The sequence below is a fragment of the Homo sapiens genome, chromosome 4 (assembly GCF_000001405.40).
Source record: "Homo sapiens chromosome 4, GRCh38.p14 Primary Assembly".
Taxonomy (NCBI): Eukaryota; Metazoa; Chordata; class Mammalia; order Primates; family Hominidae; genus Homo; species Homo sapiens.
In genome coordinates this window covers 40,842,398-40,863,083 of record NC_000004.12, presented here as the reverse complement: position 1 = coordinate 40,863,083, position 20,686 = coordinate 40,842,398, and the positions used below count along the sequence as shown (strand labels likewise).

Genomic DNA, 20,686 nt, shown 5'->3' with positions numbered 1-20,686 from the left:
CATCCTCCAGTGTCTTTATCTGTCATCTGACTTTCTCCTCTGACACAAAGTACCAGTCCCCTTCTCTGGAAACAGTTTTGAATCCTCAATGTACAGCCCCCTGAACACCTGCCTCCAAATCATTTGGGTCAGAAGGGACGGTGCTTATGTAAAAAAAGCGAGGAGTCTGTTTGAGACCTACTGAGTTACACCCTCTGAGATTGTGGCGCTTTTTTTTTTTTTTTTTTGAGATGGAGTCTCACTCTCGCCCAGGCTGGAGTGCAGTGGCACAATCTCGGCTCACTGCAACTTCTGCCGCACAGGTTCAAGTGATTCTCCTGCCTCAGCCTCCCAAGTAGCTGGGATTGTAGGTGCCTGCCACCACGCCTGGCTAATTTTTGTAGTTTTAGTAGACACAGGGTTTCACCATCTTGACCAGGCTGGTCTTGAACTGCTGACCTCGTAATCCACCCGGCTTGGCCTCCCGAAGTTCTGGGATTACAGGCGTGAGCCGCGGTGCCCGGCTAGGACCCGCCCGGCACCATCATTTTAACTGTTATGATGCACGTTATAGTTTGAGACCACTAACCTGGGTGCTGCTTTGAAATCCTCTGATTATGCAAGTGTCATACAAATGGATGTTAAAATAGTCTCAAATATTTAAGGAATCCTTCAGGGATTCCCTTATCCTCAATTCAGGAGATTTTGAAGTGGCTTCCACATTCAGAGCTGCTTTTATCTTTGGCTGAGGCAATATAAGGATCTTTGTGGATGGTATTTAAGGATAGTTCAAATTCATATCTATGTATTTTAGTAGCATGTTCTCTAGGAGCAAATTATAATGCTTTGTTCTATAATGAGTTAATAGCGTGAACATTGTCCTAACAGTCCTGTGACTTTCTTGTTTAATGTTTATACTCATGTAATCAAACAAATTGAAATTGGATTATGGCTGTTGCACGTTATATCAGTTATTATCCAGTTTAAATGCAGGTCTGAAGGAAGTAAAATTGATTTTTCTATGCTACTTGGGGACATCATAGGTTATTGGTATCCTGGTTGAATTTTCAGTTAGGTTTCTATGAAAGAAAGATGAGTGGTTAGGTTTGTTGAATTTTTTTTCTTTCACAGTATTTTGTAAATAAACTGGGATATTTCATTCTAATTAGGAAGTCAGATGCCTTTTAAAAGTTGGGTGATCAGTTTCCATATTTTTATTTAAAGCATGTCTGGCTTTTTAAAGTGTATCATAATCCTGAGTAACATTTTTATTTTTAGAAAGAAAAAAGAAAACAATAGAACACCTTCATAATACTCAGTTACTACAGTAACAGCTACCATATTTATCAGAGAATTAGCTGTAATATGTACCAGAATTTCACACATAATTGAACCTGTCTTTCTGTGAACCAGACCTGTTTTTAAAAACTGCCTTCATTCCATAAACACCGTTTGTGTACCTTTTCTGTACAAGCCCCATGCCCAGTAGTAGGGACTCAGAGTTTATCTAACATAGATATCCTTCACAAAAGCAGATGTTTTATTTTTATTCATTCATTCATTTATTCATTTATTTTAGAGATAGCATCTCGCTCTATAATCCAGGCTGGAGTGCAGTGGCAAGATCATAGCTCTCTGCAGCCTCAAACTCCTGGGCTCAAGCAATCCTTCTGCCTCAGCCTCCCAGGCAGGTAGGACAACAGGTGCAAGCCACCACACCTGGCTAATGTTTAAAAAAAAAAATTTTTTTTTTTTGAGACAGAGTCTCATTCTGTTACCCAGGCTGGAGTGCAGCGGTGTGATCTCAGCTCACTGCAACCTCTGCCTCCCAAGTTCAAGTGATTCTCCTGCCTCAGCCTCCTGAGCAACTGGGATTACAGGCACGTGCCACCACGCCCGGCTAATTTTGTATTTTTAGTAGAGACAGGGTTCCACCATGTTTGCCAGGCTGGTCTCGAACTCCTGGCCTCAAGTGATCCGCCCACCTCGGCCTCCCAAAATGCTGTGATTACAGGCGTGAGCCACCACACCTGGCCTAATGTTTAAAATTTTTTGTAGATATGGGGGTCTCGCTATATTGCCCAGCTGGTCAGAAATACATTTTATTACTACTTAATGCTTCGAAAGCAAAGTGATGGGCCAGAGAACACAAAGGCAAGGGTGACGAGCCCTCGGGAAGTAGGGAAAGGCCTCATGGGAGAGATGGCATTTGTTTGATCTGGACCTTAACTCATAAGTAGGCATTTGCAAAATGGAAATTTGTTATTTAAATCATAAAAGCATTATATTCTGATTACCTGGTCATATAAAAAAATCGGTTAAAAAATAGTAACATTAAATTTAATCAATAGTGGATGTATTAAGCACTTACTGTATGTCAGGAAATGTGCTTACTGCCGAAAATACAACGGGAAACTGCCAAGTTAGAGAATAGTCAATGAGACCACCCTCAGGTTTGATAATTTGCTAGAAGGACTCATAGAGCTCACTGAGGGCTGTGATTATGCTCATGGTTGTGGTTTGTCACAGGGAAAGGATTCTGATTAAAATCAGCCCAAGGAAGACACACATAGGACAGAGTCCAGGGAAGTTCTGAGCCTTCAGTTGTCCTCTCCCCACGGTGTCCTGGGCAGCATAACTTCCCTGGTGTTGCCGTGTGACAATAGCACAGAGTATTGTCAACCAGGGAAGTTCATCCAAGCCTTGGTGTCCAGGATTTTTATTGAGGCTCCACCCCAAAGGCATAGACAACTGGTCCAGGGCTAATCTCAGTCTCGAGTCCCTCCAGAGGTGGAGCTGATACTGCATGGGCCAAGCGCCCACCCCAGATCACCCTATTAGACCCTCTAGTGTATCCCAAGGCCACTAGGCAAACAGAAACACCCCAGTCAGGCACAACATTCCAAGGTGTTAGAGTTTACCTCCCAGAAGCTGAAGGCAGAGGCTCTCTTCAGCCAAGGTTGAATTCTTCACTGTACAGAAACAAAACCAGACTCTGTAAGTTTATAAAGCTCACTGTAAAGTGAAGGAGATGAATAATAAATGGATGATTTTCCAAATATTTAACACCAAGCTGCAGCAGGAGTACGAAGGAAAAGCCTGGGATGCTGTCAGGGAGGACACTGCCTGTCAGGAACATCTTCCAAAGGAATCAACTTTTGGGCTGAGATTCCTAGAAGATGAGAGGGATTCATCAGGTGAGCAGTGCAGGGAAGAGCATTCTAGGAGGGTCACAGTCAGTGCAAAGGCTCTGAGGTGGGAAGTAGCTGGGCGTGTTCCAGGAACTGGAAGAAGAAAAGGGGACTGGAGCAGAGACAAAGAGGAGGGAATGTGGTTGCAGCATTGGAGATAGAAGCAGGGACCTGATCCCAGGCGGCCTGTGAGACCCTGAAAGCGATTATAGACTTTATCTGCATTGCAGTGGGAAGCCACTGTGTGGTTTTAAGGTTCGAGCATGGATACTCATATTTGTGATTTTCGTTTTTGAAGGGACTCGCATTTGTGATTTTTGTTTTTGTTTTGAAGGGACAGGTGTGGCTCCTGTGAGAACAGCTTGTTAGAGATGAGTGGAGGCAAGGAGACTGTTAAAACACTACTGCAGGCCGGGTGCGGTGGCTCATGCCTCTAATCCCAGCACTTTGGGAGGCTGAGGTGGGCAGATTACTTGAGGCCAGGAATTCAAGACCAGCCTGGCCAACATGGCAAAACCCCATCTCTGAAGCATGAGGATCACTTGAACCCAAGAGGAGGAGGTTGCAGTGAGCCAAGATAGCGGCCACTGCACTAGTGAGACACTGTCTCAAAAAAAAAAAAAAAATGACAGCAGCCCTCCTGATGAGATGTTGGCTGGAACTAGGGTGGCAGCATGGAGTTGAGAGAAGGGGGCAAGTTGGAGAGAGCAGGAGGAGGCAGAGTTGGCAGGACTTGTCACACATGACTTCCTGCCAGCAGACCCTCAGCTGTCACACTTGACGTACCCTGTGGACATCTGGCAGACCCATCTATTTGTTGCTTCTGCCCTGCTATAGACAGAGAATCAGACAACCAAACTCACTGGAATGATGTGTAAGGAAGGAGAGGCAGCCTTTGAAGGGGTGACAGGTACAATCCTGTTAACTTGTTTCATATCTCTGAGCTTGCTGCTGTCTGTTCTGGCTGCTGAACCCCAAGTCTTAAACCCTCTTCTAGCCTCACTTGCAGTTTGTGTTGTGTTCCAGACAGTTGTGGTTGCCAAAGCAGTTTACTGTCAATAACTCTTCCAAATAATTGAAGTGTTACTGATCGTAGATTCAGAAACAGCATGAGTTAAATCTTGCCCTCCCTAGAAAGACAACTGTTAACTAGAAAAGCATAATATAAAATTTTCTGCACAGAACCTGGTACTTAGGAGGAGCTTAGTAAATGTTGAACAAATGAGAAAACACCTGATCCTCATTTAAACATGAACATTAAAGTTGTCTGTACACCTGTGGTGTGTTTTACCAAACCCAAACAAGACCTATAGTTAAATACTCCCTTGATTTTCCATGTGTATTTCCTATTTTCTGTTCCTTTCTTTGTAAAAGGAGCGTATGAGACTTTGAATATAGCCAAAAACATGGCTAATATGCTTTGCCTATTTTGCTCTTTTTTTTTTTTTTTTTTTTTTTTGAGACGGACTCTCACTCTGTCACTCAGGCTGGAGTGCAGTGGCGCGATCTTGGCTCACTGCAACCTCCACCTCCCAGGTTCAAGCAATTCTCCTGCCTCAGCCTCCCTATTTCACTTTGTTAATTGGCTAATCAAATAACTTACGCTTGCCCAGAAACAATTAGAAAGAGGAAGTACTTTCAGTGCTCACAGAATACAGTCAGTGAGAGACCTTGGATTTTCCTTTCCAACTCATATATTTATATGACTAGTGGCTAGCCAGGACTCTTACTTAAAGTGCTGAAAGTGCTGTCACTTAGCCAATTGGACATTTTCTGCTTCCATGTATATGGGGGGAGGGGCGCTCAGCTAGAGATGACAATGTTGGGGTGCCTGTGGGATCTTGGCTTCAAGTCAGCTATAAACAAAAGGTGTCTTAAAAGAGGTAGGGATTACAAAAGGGTGTAGGGGTGTACTGCTAAGTGCTTTGTGTAAATTGGCAGATGATCTGTAAACACTTTCCAGCTCGATTCAGAATTTTCTGCCTCTTGAAATCTGATTATTCAGATTTATAAAACTACAATTTGGTTTCTGTCTTTCTGCCCAAAGGCTTTCTGGCTGTGGGCTGCAATACCTCCCTTCCCCAACCACCCCTCCCCGCCCCCCATTTCCCCCACTCGCCCCACAATCAGGATCGTAGAAACCCAGCCTGGTGCGGTGGCTCACCCCTGTAATCCCAGCACTTTGGGAGGCCGAGGCGGGCGGCTCACTTGAGGCCAGGAGTTTGAGACCAGCCTGGCCAACATGGTGAAACCCCATCTCTACTAAATAGGAAAAATTAGCCAGGCATGGTGGCGGGCGCCTGTAATCCCAGCTGCTAGGGAGGCTGAGGCAGGAGAATCGCTTGAACCTGGGAAGCGGAGGTTGCAGTGAGCCGAGATCGTGTCACTGCACTCCAGCCTGGGCGACAGAGCGAGACTCTGTCTCAAGAAGAAAAGAAAAGAAACCAGAAACCCAGCAGGCCTAGAGCATCAACTTTTTCTAAAGAGGTTCAGTGGGTTTGAATGAAGTTTCTAAGTCTTGAGAGTCCAAAAAGGAAACGTTCGTTACAGGAAGGGAGTATGTTGGGGTGGGGGATCCTCCTTGCCGGCCCTGAGCCAGTCCCCTAGCAGCTGGAGCATCTGGCGGGAGCACCTAGCGGGAGCACTTCACGGGAGTGCGGCCGGGTGGGGCGGGGCCACGCGCCTCCCCAGCAGCCAATGGGCGGCCGCGGCGGGCGGGGCAGGGAGGGCGCAGGGAGGCGCGGGCGCCGCTCTCTTCAACTTGAGCCCGGGGCAGTGCGCGCGGCTGCTTGAGCGACGGCACCGCTGGCTGGTGCCGGCACCCTGGGGCTTGTCGTAGCACCTGGGGCGGCATCCCCGCCCGACTTCGGAAGGACCGGGAGGCAAAGGTGAGGAAGTTGGCGAAGGAACGGCTCTCCTTTGTTTGCAGGTGCGTTCAGGGGGAACGGGGGTCGAGCCCAAGCTCGCTCGCGGGGACAGCGAGGCGGGCGCGGGAGACCTGCGGGACAAAGGCTGCGCCCTCCCTTCCCCGAGTCAGCGCTTAGCGAGTTGCCTGGTCCTGGACGGCTGGAAGGGCTGAAGAGGGGGCTTTCTGCCCCGCCGGTGGGAAGAAGGAGTGAGGCTTGTATGAAATGGGGGGGAGGCGTCCTTGGACCCCCAATTCGCCAGTGCAGCAGGACTGTTCGGGGTGGGCTATTCATTGATGGGGTCTGCACGGGGCATTTCTGCCGTGGACAGCGTTCTATGATTGAGGCAGTGACTGCCTTCGCCTCACGTGCCCCCTGGTGAGGCCACATTTCTGTCTTCCTGTCTACATTAGGACTGAAAGATATTTCAGGGTTTTGGTAATCCAGTATTTGGATTAAAAGCAATATCCTTTCGTGTAGAAAAACTGTGCATTTCCAAATGATTTTAGTTACACGATTTAGGATATTGGTGTGACTTCCATGCGAGAAAATATCTCAAATTCCCCAAATGTAGAAACGCAGCCAGCTCTTGGCATTGAGAAAGAAGTAGTGTTTTTGAAAAGAAAGGCGTGAAGATTTAAATATTGCTTACAACACTCTATTAGCTTGTGGGGGAATCTGTGCCTTTTCTATTATCTGTTTCCCTATACCAATATTGTAACCAGGCACGTCTATGGATTCCTAATTAATGTGTAGCTGTGAATCTTCATTACTGCCTTGGGTGGGAGAAGGCGGAAGGAGGGGGCAATCCCATTAGTCTTTTTCTTTCTTTTTATAACTGCAGCTGCAGCCTGGCTTTGACTTGTATCATGAATGGGGGTTCTGCCTGCTTTCCTCATGCTGTTCTCTTTTAGGTTTTCTTAGGCCATTGAGCAGTTGGCCCTTCCTCCAGCCGAGCTCTTACACAAGAGTAGTTTGTAAGATTCTCTCTAAAGTTCAGATCCTTGCTGCTGCCTTTTAGTTAGTTGAGTTCAGAAAGGAATTATTAAGTGTCCTGAGGCCTTTCCTAAGAAGTTAGAAGCAGAATGTGTTTGTAAATGTGGTCTGTAATTTTGTAAAAGTTATAAGTAAAAGGGAGTGTGAATGAAATGCTTAAGAGGGGAAAGACTTTCCATAAAGCATCAGCCAGTATTATCAAAGAAGGTGTCATGGTTTGTAGCTCAGTAAGAACCCTACTTTCCGTTTTGCTTCCTTTTTTTTGTTTTTTTTTTTGAGACAGAGTCCCTCTCTGTCACCCAGCCTGTAGTGCAGTGGCACAATCTCGGCTCACTGCAACCTCTGCCTCCCAGGTTCAAGTGATTCTCCTGCCTCAGCCTCCTGAGTAGCTGGGACTATAAGTGCACACCACCACACCCGGCTAATTTCTGTTTTTTTGAGTAGAGACGGGATTTCACCATGTTGGCCAGGCTGGTCTCGAACTGCTGACCTTGGGTGATCCACCTGCCTCGGTTCTCCCAAAGTGCTGGGATTACAGGCATGAGCCACCATGCCTGGCCTCATTTTATCATTCTCACTTTGCAGATGTGAGAAACACACTTTTCTAACAGCCGCCACGTTGTTTAGTTCTAGCTTTTCTGCAATGGGGATAATTTATTTAATAAGTATTTATTGGACACTTGCCATGTGCTGGGCATTGGTGCTGGTGATTAAGTGGCATAATAAATACAACAGGTGTCTTCTTCCTTTCTTGGAGCTCACACTATGCTGGCGTGGGGCCCATTGCAGGTTCTCTGCACTGGAGCATCCCTGGGAAGCAGTGTGGATGACACCAAGGTGAGACAAGAAGATACTGCTGCTGATGGCCGCCTTGGAGGTCAGCTGAGCATGTGGCAGTAGGCGCAAACAACGAGGGGCCTCAGGTCATCTGCACTCCAAGGGTGGAAGTATTAATCACACCAGTGGGCCATTGGGCACTAAAGTCGGTCATCTTGAACTTGCTTACTTTGATCTCAAAGGAGCCTGCAGCTGCAAGGAGGGGCAGAGCTGAGTTCTAAAGAGTTTGAACATTGGCATTGTTGATTTCAATGGGGTAATTCCAGTTTGTTACAAAACTATCAGTCATGCAGCCTCCTTGTCTCACCTATACAGCTTTCCTCTTGGACAGCCCCCCTAGGAAATGAATTTCTTTTTCTTTCTTCTTTTTTTTTTTTTTTTTTTGGAGATGGACTTTCGCTCTTATCGCCCAGGCTGGAGTGCAGTGGCGTAATCTTGGCTTACTGCAACCTGTGTCTCCCAGATTCAAGCGATTCTCCTGCCTCAGCCTCCCGAGTAGCTGGGATTACAGGCGCCCGCCACCACACATGGCTAATTTTTTTGTATTTTTAGTAGAGACAGGGTTTCGCCATGTTGGCCAGGCTGGTCTTAAACTCCTGGCATTAGCTTATCTGTCCATCTCGGCCTCCCAAAGTGCTGGGATTACAGGCGTGAGCCACCGCGCCAGGCCTAGGAAATGAATTTCATTCTGTACCACTGGCTGAGCAAAGCTTTACATCTGTCCAGGCTCCCGAGTGTTAAGAGATGACTTAACTGTGTCCCTATTTACTCTCCATATACGTTTCATGGGTTTTTGGGAGTAAACTGATGGCATATAACCTCTTATCTAGGTTTTCACAAATCTCTAGGATCACAGAAAAACATACTAAGTAGTAGTGTAACTTGTCTTTTTAAAGAGCTTGTGTTGAACACAGAATATGACATATTTGAGGAGTTCTTAGACTTTTGGATTCCTCGGGCCCTAACATAGTACCTAGTATAGGATGCCCTCCATAAATAACCCAGTTGATGAATGGGCAGATGAATGAATGTAGATGAAAATACTTCATTGTCTACTTTTAGGGTTTAATTTTGACCATCCATGTGCTTAATATTTATAGTCTAATGGTTAATATGCTGTTCGGCAGATAAGGAGCATCCATGTGTCAGGCACCTTGTGAGGCAGCATGAAGGACTGAGACAGATGAGGTCCCTGTTTGAAGAGGCAGGAGATAAGCCGGAAAAACAATTCAGGAAGCAAGATGATACAGGTTATGCCGAGTGTCTTGAAGACCATCAACAGCGTGATGCAACAGAGTAGCTCAGAGGGGAAAGGGGCCATCAGGAGGCAGCCTGTCCTAGGAGGCAACATTTGAGCTGGGCTTGAAGGCTGAGAAGAAGCCAGCCATGTAGGGAGTGAATAGAAAGCACTGAGGAACAGCTGGGTGTGGTGGCTCATATCTGTAATCCCAGCACTTTGGGAGGTCGAGGCAGGTGGATCACCTGAGGTTAGGAGTTCAAAACCAGCCTGACCAACATGGTGAAACCCTGTCTCTACTAAAAATACAAAAAAAAAAAATTAGCCAGACATGGTGGTGCGTGCCTGTAATCCCAGCTGCTCGTGAGGCTGAGGCAGGAGAATCACTTGAACCCAGGAGGCGGAGGTTGCAGTGAGCCGAGATCATGCCATTGCACTCCAGCCTGGACAACGAGCGAAACTCCATCGCAAAAAAAAAAAGAAGGAAAGCACTGAGGAAGTGGAGCACTCAACGTGCCTGAGGATGAAGAGGAGGCCAGTGGTTTGTGCTGGAAGAGGTGGGTGGGGACAGGATCCTTTAGGGCTTGTGGGCAGTGCTTAAAGGTTTGCCATGAGGTGCCCGTGAAGAGGGTTAACCAGGGGAATGCCATGATCTAGTTTATTTCATACAGAAAGATCTCAGGGAATAGATATTGGGAACAGGAGTGGAAAACGAGGGACCAGTTGGCTAGCCCTAGTCCAGGAGAGATCAGTGACATGGCAGAGGGCATGAAGAGAAGCAGGTGGGTGGGGGAAATGTGGAGGTTGAACTCGCCAAGTTGACTGTAGAAGATGCAGGAAGGGGTGTGATCTAGGACCATACCTGATTTCTTTGATGCGTTGTTTATGTCTGTAGAAAATACATGCTAATAGAAGTAATAACTGTTCGAGGACAAAGTTATTAAGCCATGGAACAACTCCCTTTACATTTATGTTGTATCAAGACCTTGATTTAAGCCAGACACGGTGGCTCATGCTGTAATCCCAGCACTTTGGGAGGCCGAGTGTCCCCAAAGGATCACTTGAGGCTAGGAGTTTAAGACCAGCCTGGGCAACGTGGCAAAACCTTGTCTCTGCTGAAAATACAAAAATTACCTGGGCATGGTGGCACATGCCTGTAATTCCAGCTACTAGGGAGGCTGAGGCACGAGAATCTCTTGAACCTGGGAGATGGAGGTTGCAGTGAGCTGAGATCGCGCCACTGCCCTCCAGCCTGGGTGACAGAGAAACACACTGTCTCAGAAAAAAAAAAAAGACTTTGACTTTCTTTTCTTTGGTTCTCCAGTGTAGATGAGCAGACGTATCCATCCAGTGCAATCTTGTGTATTTGGCCATTTTTCCAAGATGTTTTCACCCTTCAGTACCCTTTCTGTCATTCTCAACTGGTTATGAGACCTTTGAGCATTTTTCTTTGTTCTGGCATGAAAATAAAGAATCAGACTAAGAAGAGAAGATGGGTTTAAGCCTTAATTTATATGGAATTATTCTACCTTTGTTCCCAGTTTATAAGAATCCATTCATAATTACTTTTTTTTTTTTTTTTTTTTGAAGACAGAGTTTTGCTCTGTCACCCAGGCTGGAGTGCAGTGTCACGATCTCGGCCCCCTGCAGCCTTCGCCTCCCGGGTTCAAGCGATTCTCCTGCCTCAGCCTCCCAAATAGATGGGATTACAGGCATGCACCACCATGCCCCACTAATTTTTTGTATTTTTAGTAGAGACGGGGTTTCACTATGTTCGCCAGGCTGGTTTTGAGCTCCCGACCTCAAGTGATCCACCGGCCTTAGTGCTGGGATTACAGGCATGAGCCACTGCGCCCGGCCCCGTAATTACATTTGAAGTTACTTCACATGCAGCATCCTCTGTAGTTCCAACAATTGATACTCTCTCATAAATATAAAATTTGTTCCATATGTATTTCAATTCAAAGAGGGTAACTTTCTTAGTAACTTTGCAGGAAATTCACTGAGCATTTTGAGAGCTAGAGAAGCCATTTCCTTATAGCTGTAAAGTAGAACTAAATACTGAGTTTCTGATAGGATTCTCTGCCCCCTTCTTCCAGCTGCAGAATTGTGAACTTGAAAGCTTAACAACATGTTTGTCAGAGAACTTGAGTTTTGAGATAACTTTGGTTTGGTTTTGAAAAAAAAAAAAAAAAAAAATATATATATATATATATATATGCATAGAAAATATTCCTTCTGCAGTCAGTATTTTCAGCAGATGGGAAAGGGCAGGAGTGACTTGAGCTTCCAGCCATTTCAATCTGGGTACCTTATAACATGGAAGCTTGTCTGGGGATGAATAAATTATAGCAGTTGGAATAATTATGATAGAGGACAAGCAGCAGCCGAGAGTACAATTGACAATGGGGCCAAGTTGGCCTGATTCTGTCGTATCAGAGCATGCATCTGTTTGCCAGGTTACCTGAAAATGCTGTTTTCGAGGATTCTGGTGTGTTTTGTTTTTCATCGCCCTCCCTTTTAAAACACTGTAAGAGCCATCATCTGCTAGTGACCTTTTAGAAATAAAATGGCTGGGGCAGACGTCCACATGGCTGCCGCTTCACATGTTGGGCATCCGTGTAAGATTTAAATTGAGCAAAAGGTTGTTTGGTTCTAAAGCACTTGCAGGTTGTAAATGCTCTTACTCTTGCATCTTGGTGGAACAGTTTCTAGCCAGCCCTGGGAGTTTGTCACCTGTAACGAGAATTATTCTACCATCTCAGCCAGTTGCAGAGTCCCTCAATTGGTTTACACTCTGCTGTTAACATCTTGAAAATGTTCATTGTTTTTTTTGACAGCCTTGCATTTTCATTTTGCACTGGGCTCCACGAAGTGTTTAGCCAGTGCTGTCCACATCGTATGTTGCACCCTTGAAACAGATTGTCCTCTAGAGCAGGGGTTGGCAGATTTTTCCTGTAAAAGGCCAGTTTTAAAAAAAAATTTTTTTTTTGAGACGGGGTCTCACTCAGTTACCCAGGCTGGAGTGCAAGTGGTGTGATCACGGCTCACTGCAGCCTTGACCTCCTGGGCTCAAGCAGTTCTCCTGCCTCAGCCTCCTGAATAGCTGAGACTCACACTTTACACACCACCACACCTGGCTATTTAAAAAAATTTTTTTTAGAGCTGAGGTCTCACTGTGTTGTCCATGCTGACCTCGAACTCCCGGGCACTGGCCACATATTAAATATTTGAGGCTTTTGGAGCCATGTGGCCTCTGTTGCAACTACTCAGCTCTGCAGCTGTGGCACAAAAGTTGCTGTAGCCTCTGCCTAAGTGAATGAGTGTGGCCGTGGTCCAATACTCTTCATTCACAAAACAGTCTGAGATTTGGGGGGATCATAATTTGCTGATCCCTGATCTGAAGGACCTGCACAGAACCTTTAATGACAATTCAAATAGGGATTTCGTCACTTGGAAGTAAGAAGGTTCAGTCATCTTTGGCCAGCTTTGTGTTGTGTTGAAAATTAGCCCCCAAAGAGAATTCCTGCAGAAGGTCAGGGTCTTTGGGGTATTTCTACACTTGAGCCTCTTTCTTTTTTAAGATGACATACTTGTTATAGTTGTCAAATATGGACAATAACAGGAAGCCAAACTCAAATAATAATAATAGGGTGTTACAAAGCCGGGCACAGTGGTCCCCACCTGTAGTCCCAGCTGTTCTGGAGCCTGAGGTGGGCAAATCACTTGAGTCAAGGAGTTTGTGTCCAGCCAGGACAGCATCTAAGACTCCGTGTCTTAACAAAAACAAAGCAGGATGTTACAGCAGTGGCGTTGTGGTTTTCGTTTTTTAAAGATTCTTCATCATATTCAACAAAAAAGGAAAAATGATGCTGAAACAAAGAGACAAACTGCCTATAAAAAGTAACCTGAGTAGCAGGGCACGGTGGCTCACGCCTGTAATCCCAGCACTTTGGGAGGCCGAGGCGGGCGAATCACCTGAGGTCAGGAGTTTGAGACCAGACTGAGCAACATGGTGAAACCCCGTCTCTACTAAAAATACAAAAATAGCTGGGTGTGGTGGCGCCGAGTAATCTCAGCTACTCGAGAGGCTGAGGCAGGAGAATTGCTTGATCCTGGGAGGCAGAGGTTGCAGTGAGCTGAGATGGTGCCACTGCACTCCAGCCTGGGTGACAGAGCGAGACTCTGTCTCAAAAAAAAAAAAAAAAAAAAGTAACTTTAGTAAACAGGAAGAGTACATATTCTTTCAAACTGTATCAAGAAGTTAACTCCTGCCATTATACACTAGTACCTCTGAGGGGGTGGGAGGAATGCTTTGTGGGCTCCCCAAAGGGCAGCTTTTCAGTCCATAACTGCCTCAGCAGGTATGGGAATGTGTTGTCTTGGGTCTTTTCCCTAAATGATAAGCAGAGGTTTATTTCTCTTAAGAGTACAAATATAAAGAAAATTATCTGGGGATAAATCTTGATAGAAATCAATATACGAGGGAAATTTATATATTGATTTCTTCAGGAGCAGAGGAGCTATTTCTCATTTAGACAAATGTTCCAAGGAAGGAATCTAGTTAGGAGCTCTGGCAACATTGTTGTTGTTTCTGCTGGAGATGATCAGAGTATAGATTCGCTTGGCTTTTAAATAGAGTCATAAGAGATTAATAATCTTCTCAGAACTTGCCTCCTGCCTGTTCAGATGAAATATATGTTTTATTAACATTGTTTCAGCTGACATGAAAACAGGATATGAACCAAAGTCATTTTAAAAGCGCTGTCTGTGATGAGCAATAGCAGGAGAAAAAGGAATCCAGCCAACTCCCTACTGTTTGTGGCATCATTCCCTTAGCTTCTTACCAACCTGATCAGGAAGAAGGGAGTTCACTCTTTCCCCTACTTAGGTATTTATTCACATATTCAAGAATATTGATTGATTGCCTACTATGTGCCAGACAGTGGTAAGTGAACAGGCAGAAAGGTTCTTGCTCGCATGAGCTTTACTTTCTTGGTGGAGAGAGGGAAATAGGGTAGCTTCAGATGGCTGTGAATGTTGACAATGACTGGGGGATCCTCAGGGTTCTTTTGGAGGCAGTGATGATCAGGATGATGAGGGGAGGACCTGGGGGAAAAGCAGACCAAGCAGCCGATCAGCAAGCCCAGGCAGGGGCGGGCTTGTATGTTTCGGAGCAAAACGGTCCCAGTGTGGCTGGAGGCAGGGAGTTTGCGGCGGTGGGGCGGGTGGGGGTTGGGAATTGTAAGCAGAGGAGTCATGGAATAAGTGGCTACTGAGCAGATGATGAAAGGAAGGTAATTTAAACCAAACACAGCACTTAATTACCATCACGAGCTCCAGCAGTGGTGGAACCAAAAGTCCAATGGGGACAGAGAGAGAAAGGCAGAGCAGAGGCTACCTCCAGTGAGGGATGGGGTCCTGAGCAGAGCCAATTAACTGGGAGGGAGCCAGGCTCAGGTGCTAGGTGCCCCAGAGCTACACGGCAGGAAAGAGCCCAGCCAGCAGGCCTGTGTTCTGTTTGCAGATCTACCACCTGCTAGCTGTGGGCTTTGGAGCAAGTCAACTTAAACTCTCTGACCCTTCAATTCCTCATTTGTAAAATGAGTCGTGATGCTTCCCCCTGCAAGGTTATTGTGTGGCTTGGCGACAGTGCGCAGCAAGAATAGAGCCTGGCTAGACAGAAGCAATCATAGCCAGGAGCCGCTACTGTTACTTGGTTAGTGGTAATCAGCCTTCCTAGGGTTGGTGTCTGCTTTTCTTTAGATATTATTGAGTTTACATTATACCAGAAATACTTGTATCTAGATGGAAGTTAACAAAATTCAGGACTGGGCATAGTGGCTCATGCCTGTAATCCAAATACTTTTTTGAGAAGCTGAGGTGGGTGGATTGCTTGAGCCCAAAAGTTTGAGACCAACCTTTGCAACATAGTGAGACCTCATTTCTACAACAAATAAAAAATTAGCCGGGTATGATGGCAAACACCTATAGCCCCCGCTACTTGGGAGGTTGAGGCCGGAGGATTGCTTGAGCCAAGTAGTTTGAGGATGCAGTAAGCTATGATCGTGCTACTGGACTCCTGCCTGGGCAACAGAGCGAGATCCCATCTCTTAAAAAAAAAAAAAAGCAAGCAAAAACAACAAACAATTCAAATGAAGGCCATATGTATTGGCTTTCCATGTTATCTACCCTAGTACTCCTTTGAACTGGCACAAAGAAAGCCCCTTGAAAATTCAGAAAGTGATTCACCATATCCACAAGAGGTCCTCCATGTGGCTGGGTGCTCACCGTGGTTTTAAGTAGGAGGCTTGTCTGCACCTTGCCAGGAGTTTGTACCCTCATGGCATTCTGGCATGGAAACCACTGTGCTGTCATTTTCCCTGCTCAGAATCAGTTCTAAATCCTTATGCGTTCCTGTGCTTTGTCAGATAGGAGCCTTCTGGTGTCAAGGTGTTTCGTGTTGTTTTATTTTTTTGAGACGGTCTTGCTCTGTCACCCAGGCAGGAGTGCAGAGGCACGATCTCAGCTCACTGCAACCTCCACCTCCCGGGTTGCAGTGATTCTCACGTCTCAGCCTCCTGAGTAGCTGGGACTACAGGTGTGCGCCACCATGCCTGGCTAATTTTTGTATTTTTAGTAGAGACAGGGTTTCGTCATGTTGGCAGGCTGGTCTTGAACTCCTGGCCTCAAGTAATCCACCTGCCTCAACCTCCCAAAGTGCTGGGATTACAAGTGTGAGCCACCATGCCTGACCTGGTATTTTTTATTTTTGTTTTACCATCTTGGCTTTCAGAAAGGAAGCTAACCCATGGTTTCACAGTTCAGGTAGAATTTATATAACGTTATCCTTTCATTATACCCTAAACTTTAAAGTTGAAACTGGAACATGGTGTAAATTATCTCTCACTTAATAACTAACTATAATTTGTGTGTGTATTCTTCTCTCAGATATTCAGAGATGCAAGATTTTTGCATTTGGTTTTTTGTTTTTTTTTTAATCTGTGATATAGCACAGATGAAAGCTGAAGCTCGTTAATTCTTGCTTAAAGTCTTCAAAGATGGACTTTTAAAAATACTCGTTTCCTGGTTGCTTTTAAATATCCTTTTTCCCTCCTCCTCATTAGTAAGCAGGCTGGTAACTATTGTGTCTTCCCTCCAATGGCATGAGAAAGTCCTTTGTTTAGAATAATGTGCCTTGAATTTCAATAACCTCAACCACTTTAACTCCTGGCTTTACACTTCTAAGTGCTGGAAGTCTAACTTTCCCATCATGGCGCTGCTGGGCAGGACAGTGAGGTGGGAGGGGAGCTTGCTTTGGAAAGGAAGGCACACTTGGTCAGAGACGGTTGTTCATGTCACCGGTTGATCCTGGGAAGGATAGAACCTTTCCCTGAGATGAATTCTCTAAATATCAGCCAGAAATCAGATGGTAAATTTGCATAAATTCAGTATTCATTTCAGTTCAGAGGCCTTTCACCTGCGGCATGTAGATTCTAAAGGGACCTGGGATTGAGTTTCAAGAATCACTGAACTGTTCCAGCTCTGCCCCCTTCCAAAATTGTGTATAAAATTGTGAGTCTGTGCACTTTTTTTTTTTTTTTTTTTTTTGGAGTGTTTTCATCCGAGGGCCTTGATCCAAAACAGGTCAGGAACCTTTCCTTTCTCCTCGTGGAGCTCCCCTTCCCTCTCTCACATAGTGATTGGCCTGGCCTGCACTGTAAGGCCATACTCAAGCCGCCATCCTGTAGGAGCTTTATATGGATTAAATAATGGAATTTTATGGCACTCTCAGGACCTGAAGGCCTCTATGATTCCCATTTCACAGATGAAGAAACTGAAAAACAAAGAGGCTAAGGGCCCTGACCAAGGGCAGACAGCTGATAAATGACACACACACACACACACACACACACACACACCCCACTCACACCCACCCACCCACCCACCCACACCCACCTACCCACCCCTGAAGCTGGAGGGAAAAAATAAACTGTCAGACTCAGGAGCTGGTGCAAGAATTTTCATGATGTAAAGTTTTGCAGTGTTTACTTCATTGTCCTGTGGATAATGGTGTGATGTGTGCTCAAAAGGCTAGAGAGATGGCCAGTGATGAAAGACAAACATCAAAAAGAAGCATGCAACAGAGACTTCTGCAAAAATGGAGTGAGAAGTCTACTGGCAAGTCCTTGCCTCGCGTGCTCAGTTTGTGAAAAGTGGACAGTTGTGCGCAGCATGAGAAGTAGGTGGCTGTGCCAGGGAACAGGAGATGGCGTCCTCTTCCAAAAAGCTGGAATAGACATTGTCATTCTGGTGTGCTGGTTTTTTTTTTTTTTTTTTTTTTTTTTTGAGGAATTTCCTTTTCATTTGGATTCCAGTTACACATGCCAGGTACTTCTGTTATTTCAGGCTTATATTAATGAAAACATTGCCAATTACTCCGGCATTTATTTTCCCAAGGAACAGCCACGGAGAGCATGCTGATCAGGCAGCCTTGGGATGTGCGGCTCATGTGGAATTAATCTTGGGGTTTAATTCTTCCCACTGGCATCTTGTACAGCGAGAAGGGAGTAGACTTACGCCTGGCACTAAATTTAGCCTTCTCCACTCTCAGACTGGTTTGTCTTGTGCAGAAGCCCAGCTTTGGACTGATGTTTTCTTCCCAGCAAATTTACAAGGTGCTGAATTGGTGGAGCTGCTGGCACTGTCTGTGACTCTTCTGGGTTTCTGAATGACATTTCAAATATCACTCTGCGGTGTCTTATTTATGGCTGGTTTTCACTTTGATACTTAAATCAAGCAGTGTTTATTAACTCCAAATGAATTAACTGTGTTAAAAGTTTGCAGTAGCATTTTTTCCAAGTCTGCTTTCAGGGAAAAACACAGTAGCTACATCTTGATGGTATGTTTTTAAGTGAATCACTAGCAGTGGATCTGATTTAAAATATCCAAGACTACAATAATAATTATACACAAAAGAAACAGGTTGTATTCTCAGATTGTTAGATTTTTAAAGTTTTTGTCACACACTACAGATAGGCTTTTTATTAAAAATAAGAAATTGAAAACATTTGGTGTAATTAAAAGCAAGTCAAAGCACTAACATATCCTTTTCTGATAAAAATCTGAGCACTAAGAAGTTCCTAGCACATCCATTCTGAGATTAGGAACCCAAGAATTAGGGAGGTTGTGTGACTTGCATAATGTTACCCAGCTGTGGATTCAGACTGGGACCAGCATCCAGGTCTCTGGGTCCTTTGCTGATCTTGTAAATTGCTACCCAAGCCTGGCTTTGATAGGTGGAACCGAGTAGCACAGAGGGACCTGAGCCAAGGGGTGACTCTCCAGCATCCTGTATCAGCTGGGGTCCAGCAAACCTGAGCAGAGGGCCCCTGCCACTCCCCCAGGTGACTGTCCTTCCGTGGGAGACAGTCCATCTCAAATGCTGCCCAGCACAACCCAGCCGAAGAGATGAAGCTATTGGATGACACAGTGATAATAGCTGTTAACGTTGCAGGTTATTGCAGCTTTGTTACATGCCCAGCACTCCCATACACGTGTCGTCCCATTTAACTTCATGCTTATAATGCCCCTGAGCATTATGAGCATGAGCAGGTGTCCTTATCCCCTCTTCAATGATGAGGAAACAGGTTTTGTGGGGCATACCATGTAACACAGTGTGCCTGGCACACAGAGGGGCCCTGGAAATCTATGTTGGGTAAATAAAGAGAAGGTAAGCAGTGTACTTGAAGGAATGTGGCTACCCATCTGGATTTGAGCACAGCTGTGTCTGCCTCTTCAGCCCAAAGATCCTCTTAGGAATTTTTAGCCACCTCTTTCCCTACAAAAGTTCACCAAAAGAGAGGAATGTTCCCTGTTCCTCTAAAACCCTAGGTTCTTGGCCAAACCCTTTGGCCCTACCTTGAATACCTGTGCCTAGGGACTGTGTTTGCCATTTAGGAGACAAACCATTAGGGGGCTCTGCAGGACTGTGTAGAAGGGTGGAGTACCCATCATGGGTGCATCTAAGACTAGAATTCGAGTCCTGCAGCCTACTGTCAAACTCTCTTCCCCATGTAGTAGCTGTGTGACCTTGGCCAAGTGTCTTAGCCTCTCTGAACTTGTTTCCTCATCTGTCAGAACAGTAATACTGACCTTGTCCAGTTACTGTTAGGGGCCAAACAGAGCTCAATAAAGGGTAATTGGTGGCTGGTGTTACTGTAATCATTAATATTAGTCCTGTTAACTGCCCTGGGGCATGCTGATCACAATGGCTTTCCTTCAGTACTGAGGTAGATATTTGCATATTTTATCACAAAAGTCAAATGTGCTTATTGTATAATTTTCAAAGAGATAAAGTAAAATCCTCCATAATCCTCTTTCCATATTACAGTTGACAGTTCGGGTATTATATTCCAAGTTTTTTACTGTGTATATATTAAAATACACATGCAAACATTTTGTTGTTTTTATAAGACCATGCTTGTTTTATAAAAACAGCTTGGCTTTGTTTTTGCTCCACTTACTAGTGTGCCATGGTCATTGTTCCGCCTCAGGGTGAGCAGCTCTTCCTTTCCACTTAATGACTTTGTGGTTCACTGTCTGGTGCACTTGGCGTTTCATGCCATGATTTTAGCTCCATCCCTGCAGGGCCCTGCTGGCCGCTCCATGACCCTGGCCATAGAGTGCCCGAGAGAACGGGTTTCTGTAAACATTGGGTTTCTTCCTTTCCTCCTCGTTATCTATCCAGTGCTCCATGCTCTTCGGTCTAGTTGCTCTGTGTACGGTGCATGCAAATCGGCTGTGACAATGCCAGAAAGGAATGGTGTGAGCACCATGGGTCAGGGGATTAAGTGACTTCATTAGGGTCCCAGGCAGCTCAGGACAGCTCTGGGTAGCTCAGGGAGGGAACTCCAAGAGTGTGGCCCCAACCAGACTTGCACTGTGTTCCTCTCTCCGTTCCATTCCTCTCTTTCCTGGGACGTCTCTGATCTCTCCCCCATTGAGCTGTCATCTCCTGTCTCTCCCACTTCCCACCCGCCCTTGACCTGTGCTGCCTCCCTCCCTCCCTGTTGCCCTGTAAGGATGCATCTCAGGAAAAGTGCCTGGATTCCAGTGATGTGGCTCTGTTAATAGAGTGTCAGGAATGTCGGTAAAACAGGTAAGGCTATGTCCATGCCGTTGTTTCTGTATGTTTTTTATTGGGAGCAGGTGGAACTGGAAAATGAAGACACGTCCTCTGCCAGTGTTTACTGCAAACAGTTTCCTGTATTTGACTGTGATATTTTAAGCTTGATTACCTCCCCCAGTTGATATGTTGCCTCTGTAAATTCAGCTGGCATCTCTTGGCTTCATCATAATGTGGCTCAAAATACACACTTCTGGGTGATACAGTTGACCTAAAATAAGCACGGAAAGCCTATTAATTGCTGCAGAGTTGGGAAATTAGATGAGCTGTCAGTGCTCAGACTCGCTGTTAACGGGGCTGTGTTATTGGCGGGATGCCGTGTGAATGCTAACGTGTTGTTTCTGCTCTGTTC

At 45.5% G+C, this 20,686-nt stretch overlaps 1 protein-coding gene across 55 annotated transcripts in view, besides 1 other annotated feature; it reads left to right on the top strand.

Moving 5' to 3' along the window:
- The window catches only part of APBB2 (amyloid beta precursor protein binding family B member 2), a 404,516-nt gene that overhangs the window by 351,459 nt on the left and 32,371 nt on the right, over window positions 1-20,686 (top strand). For 2 of the 55 annotated variants that reach the window (NM_001166054.1, NM_001166053.1), the window contains exon 1: window positions 5,892-6,058. The exons of 51 other annotated variants lie outside the window; for them this stretch is intronic. The gene's annotated coding sequence lies outside the window, so the exon portion shown is untranslated. Of the gene's footprint in view, window positions 1-5,891; window positions 6,100-20,686 lie in introns of those variants that run through there. 2 more of the 55 variants (NM_001166052.2, NM_001166051.2) reach the window with 1 other exon arrangement.
- Window positions 5,765-5,964: a silencer, noted in NCBI's record as "silent region_15382". NCBI's record gives its function as "represses an Ori minimal core promoter by ATAC-STARR-seq in GM12878 lymphoblastoid cells {active_cell/tissue: GM12878}" and the evidence as "EXISTENCE:reporter gene assay evidence [ECO:0000049][PMID:35858748]".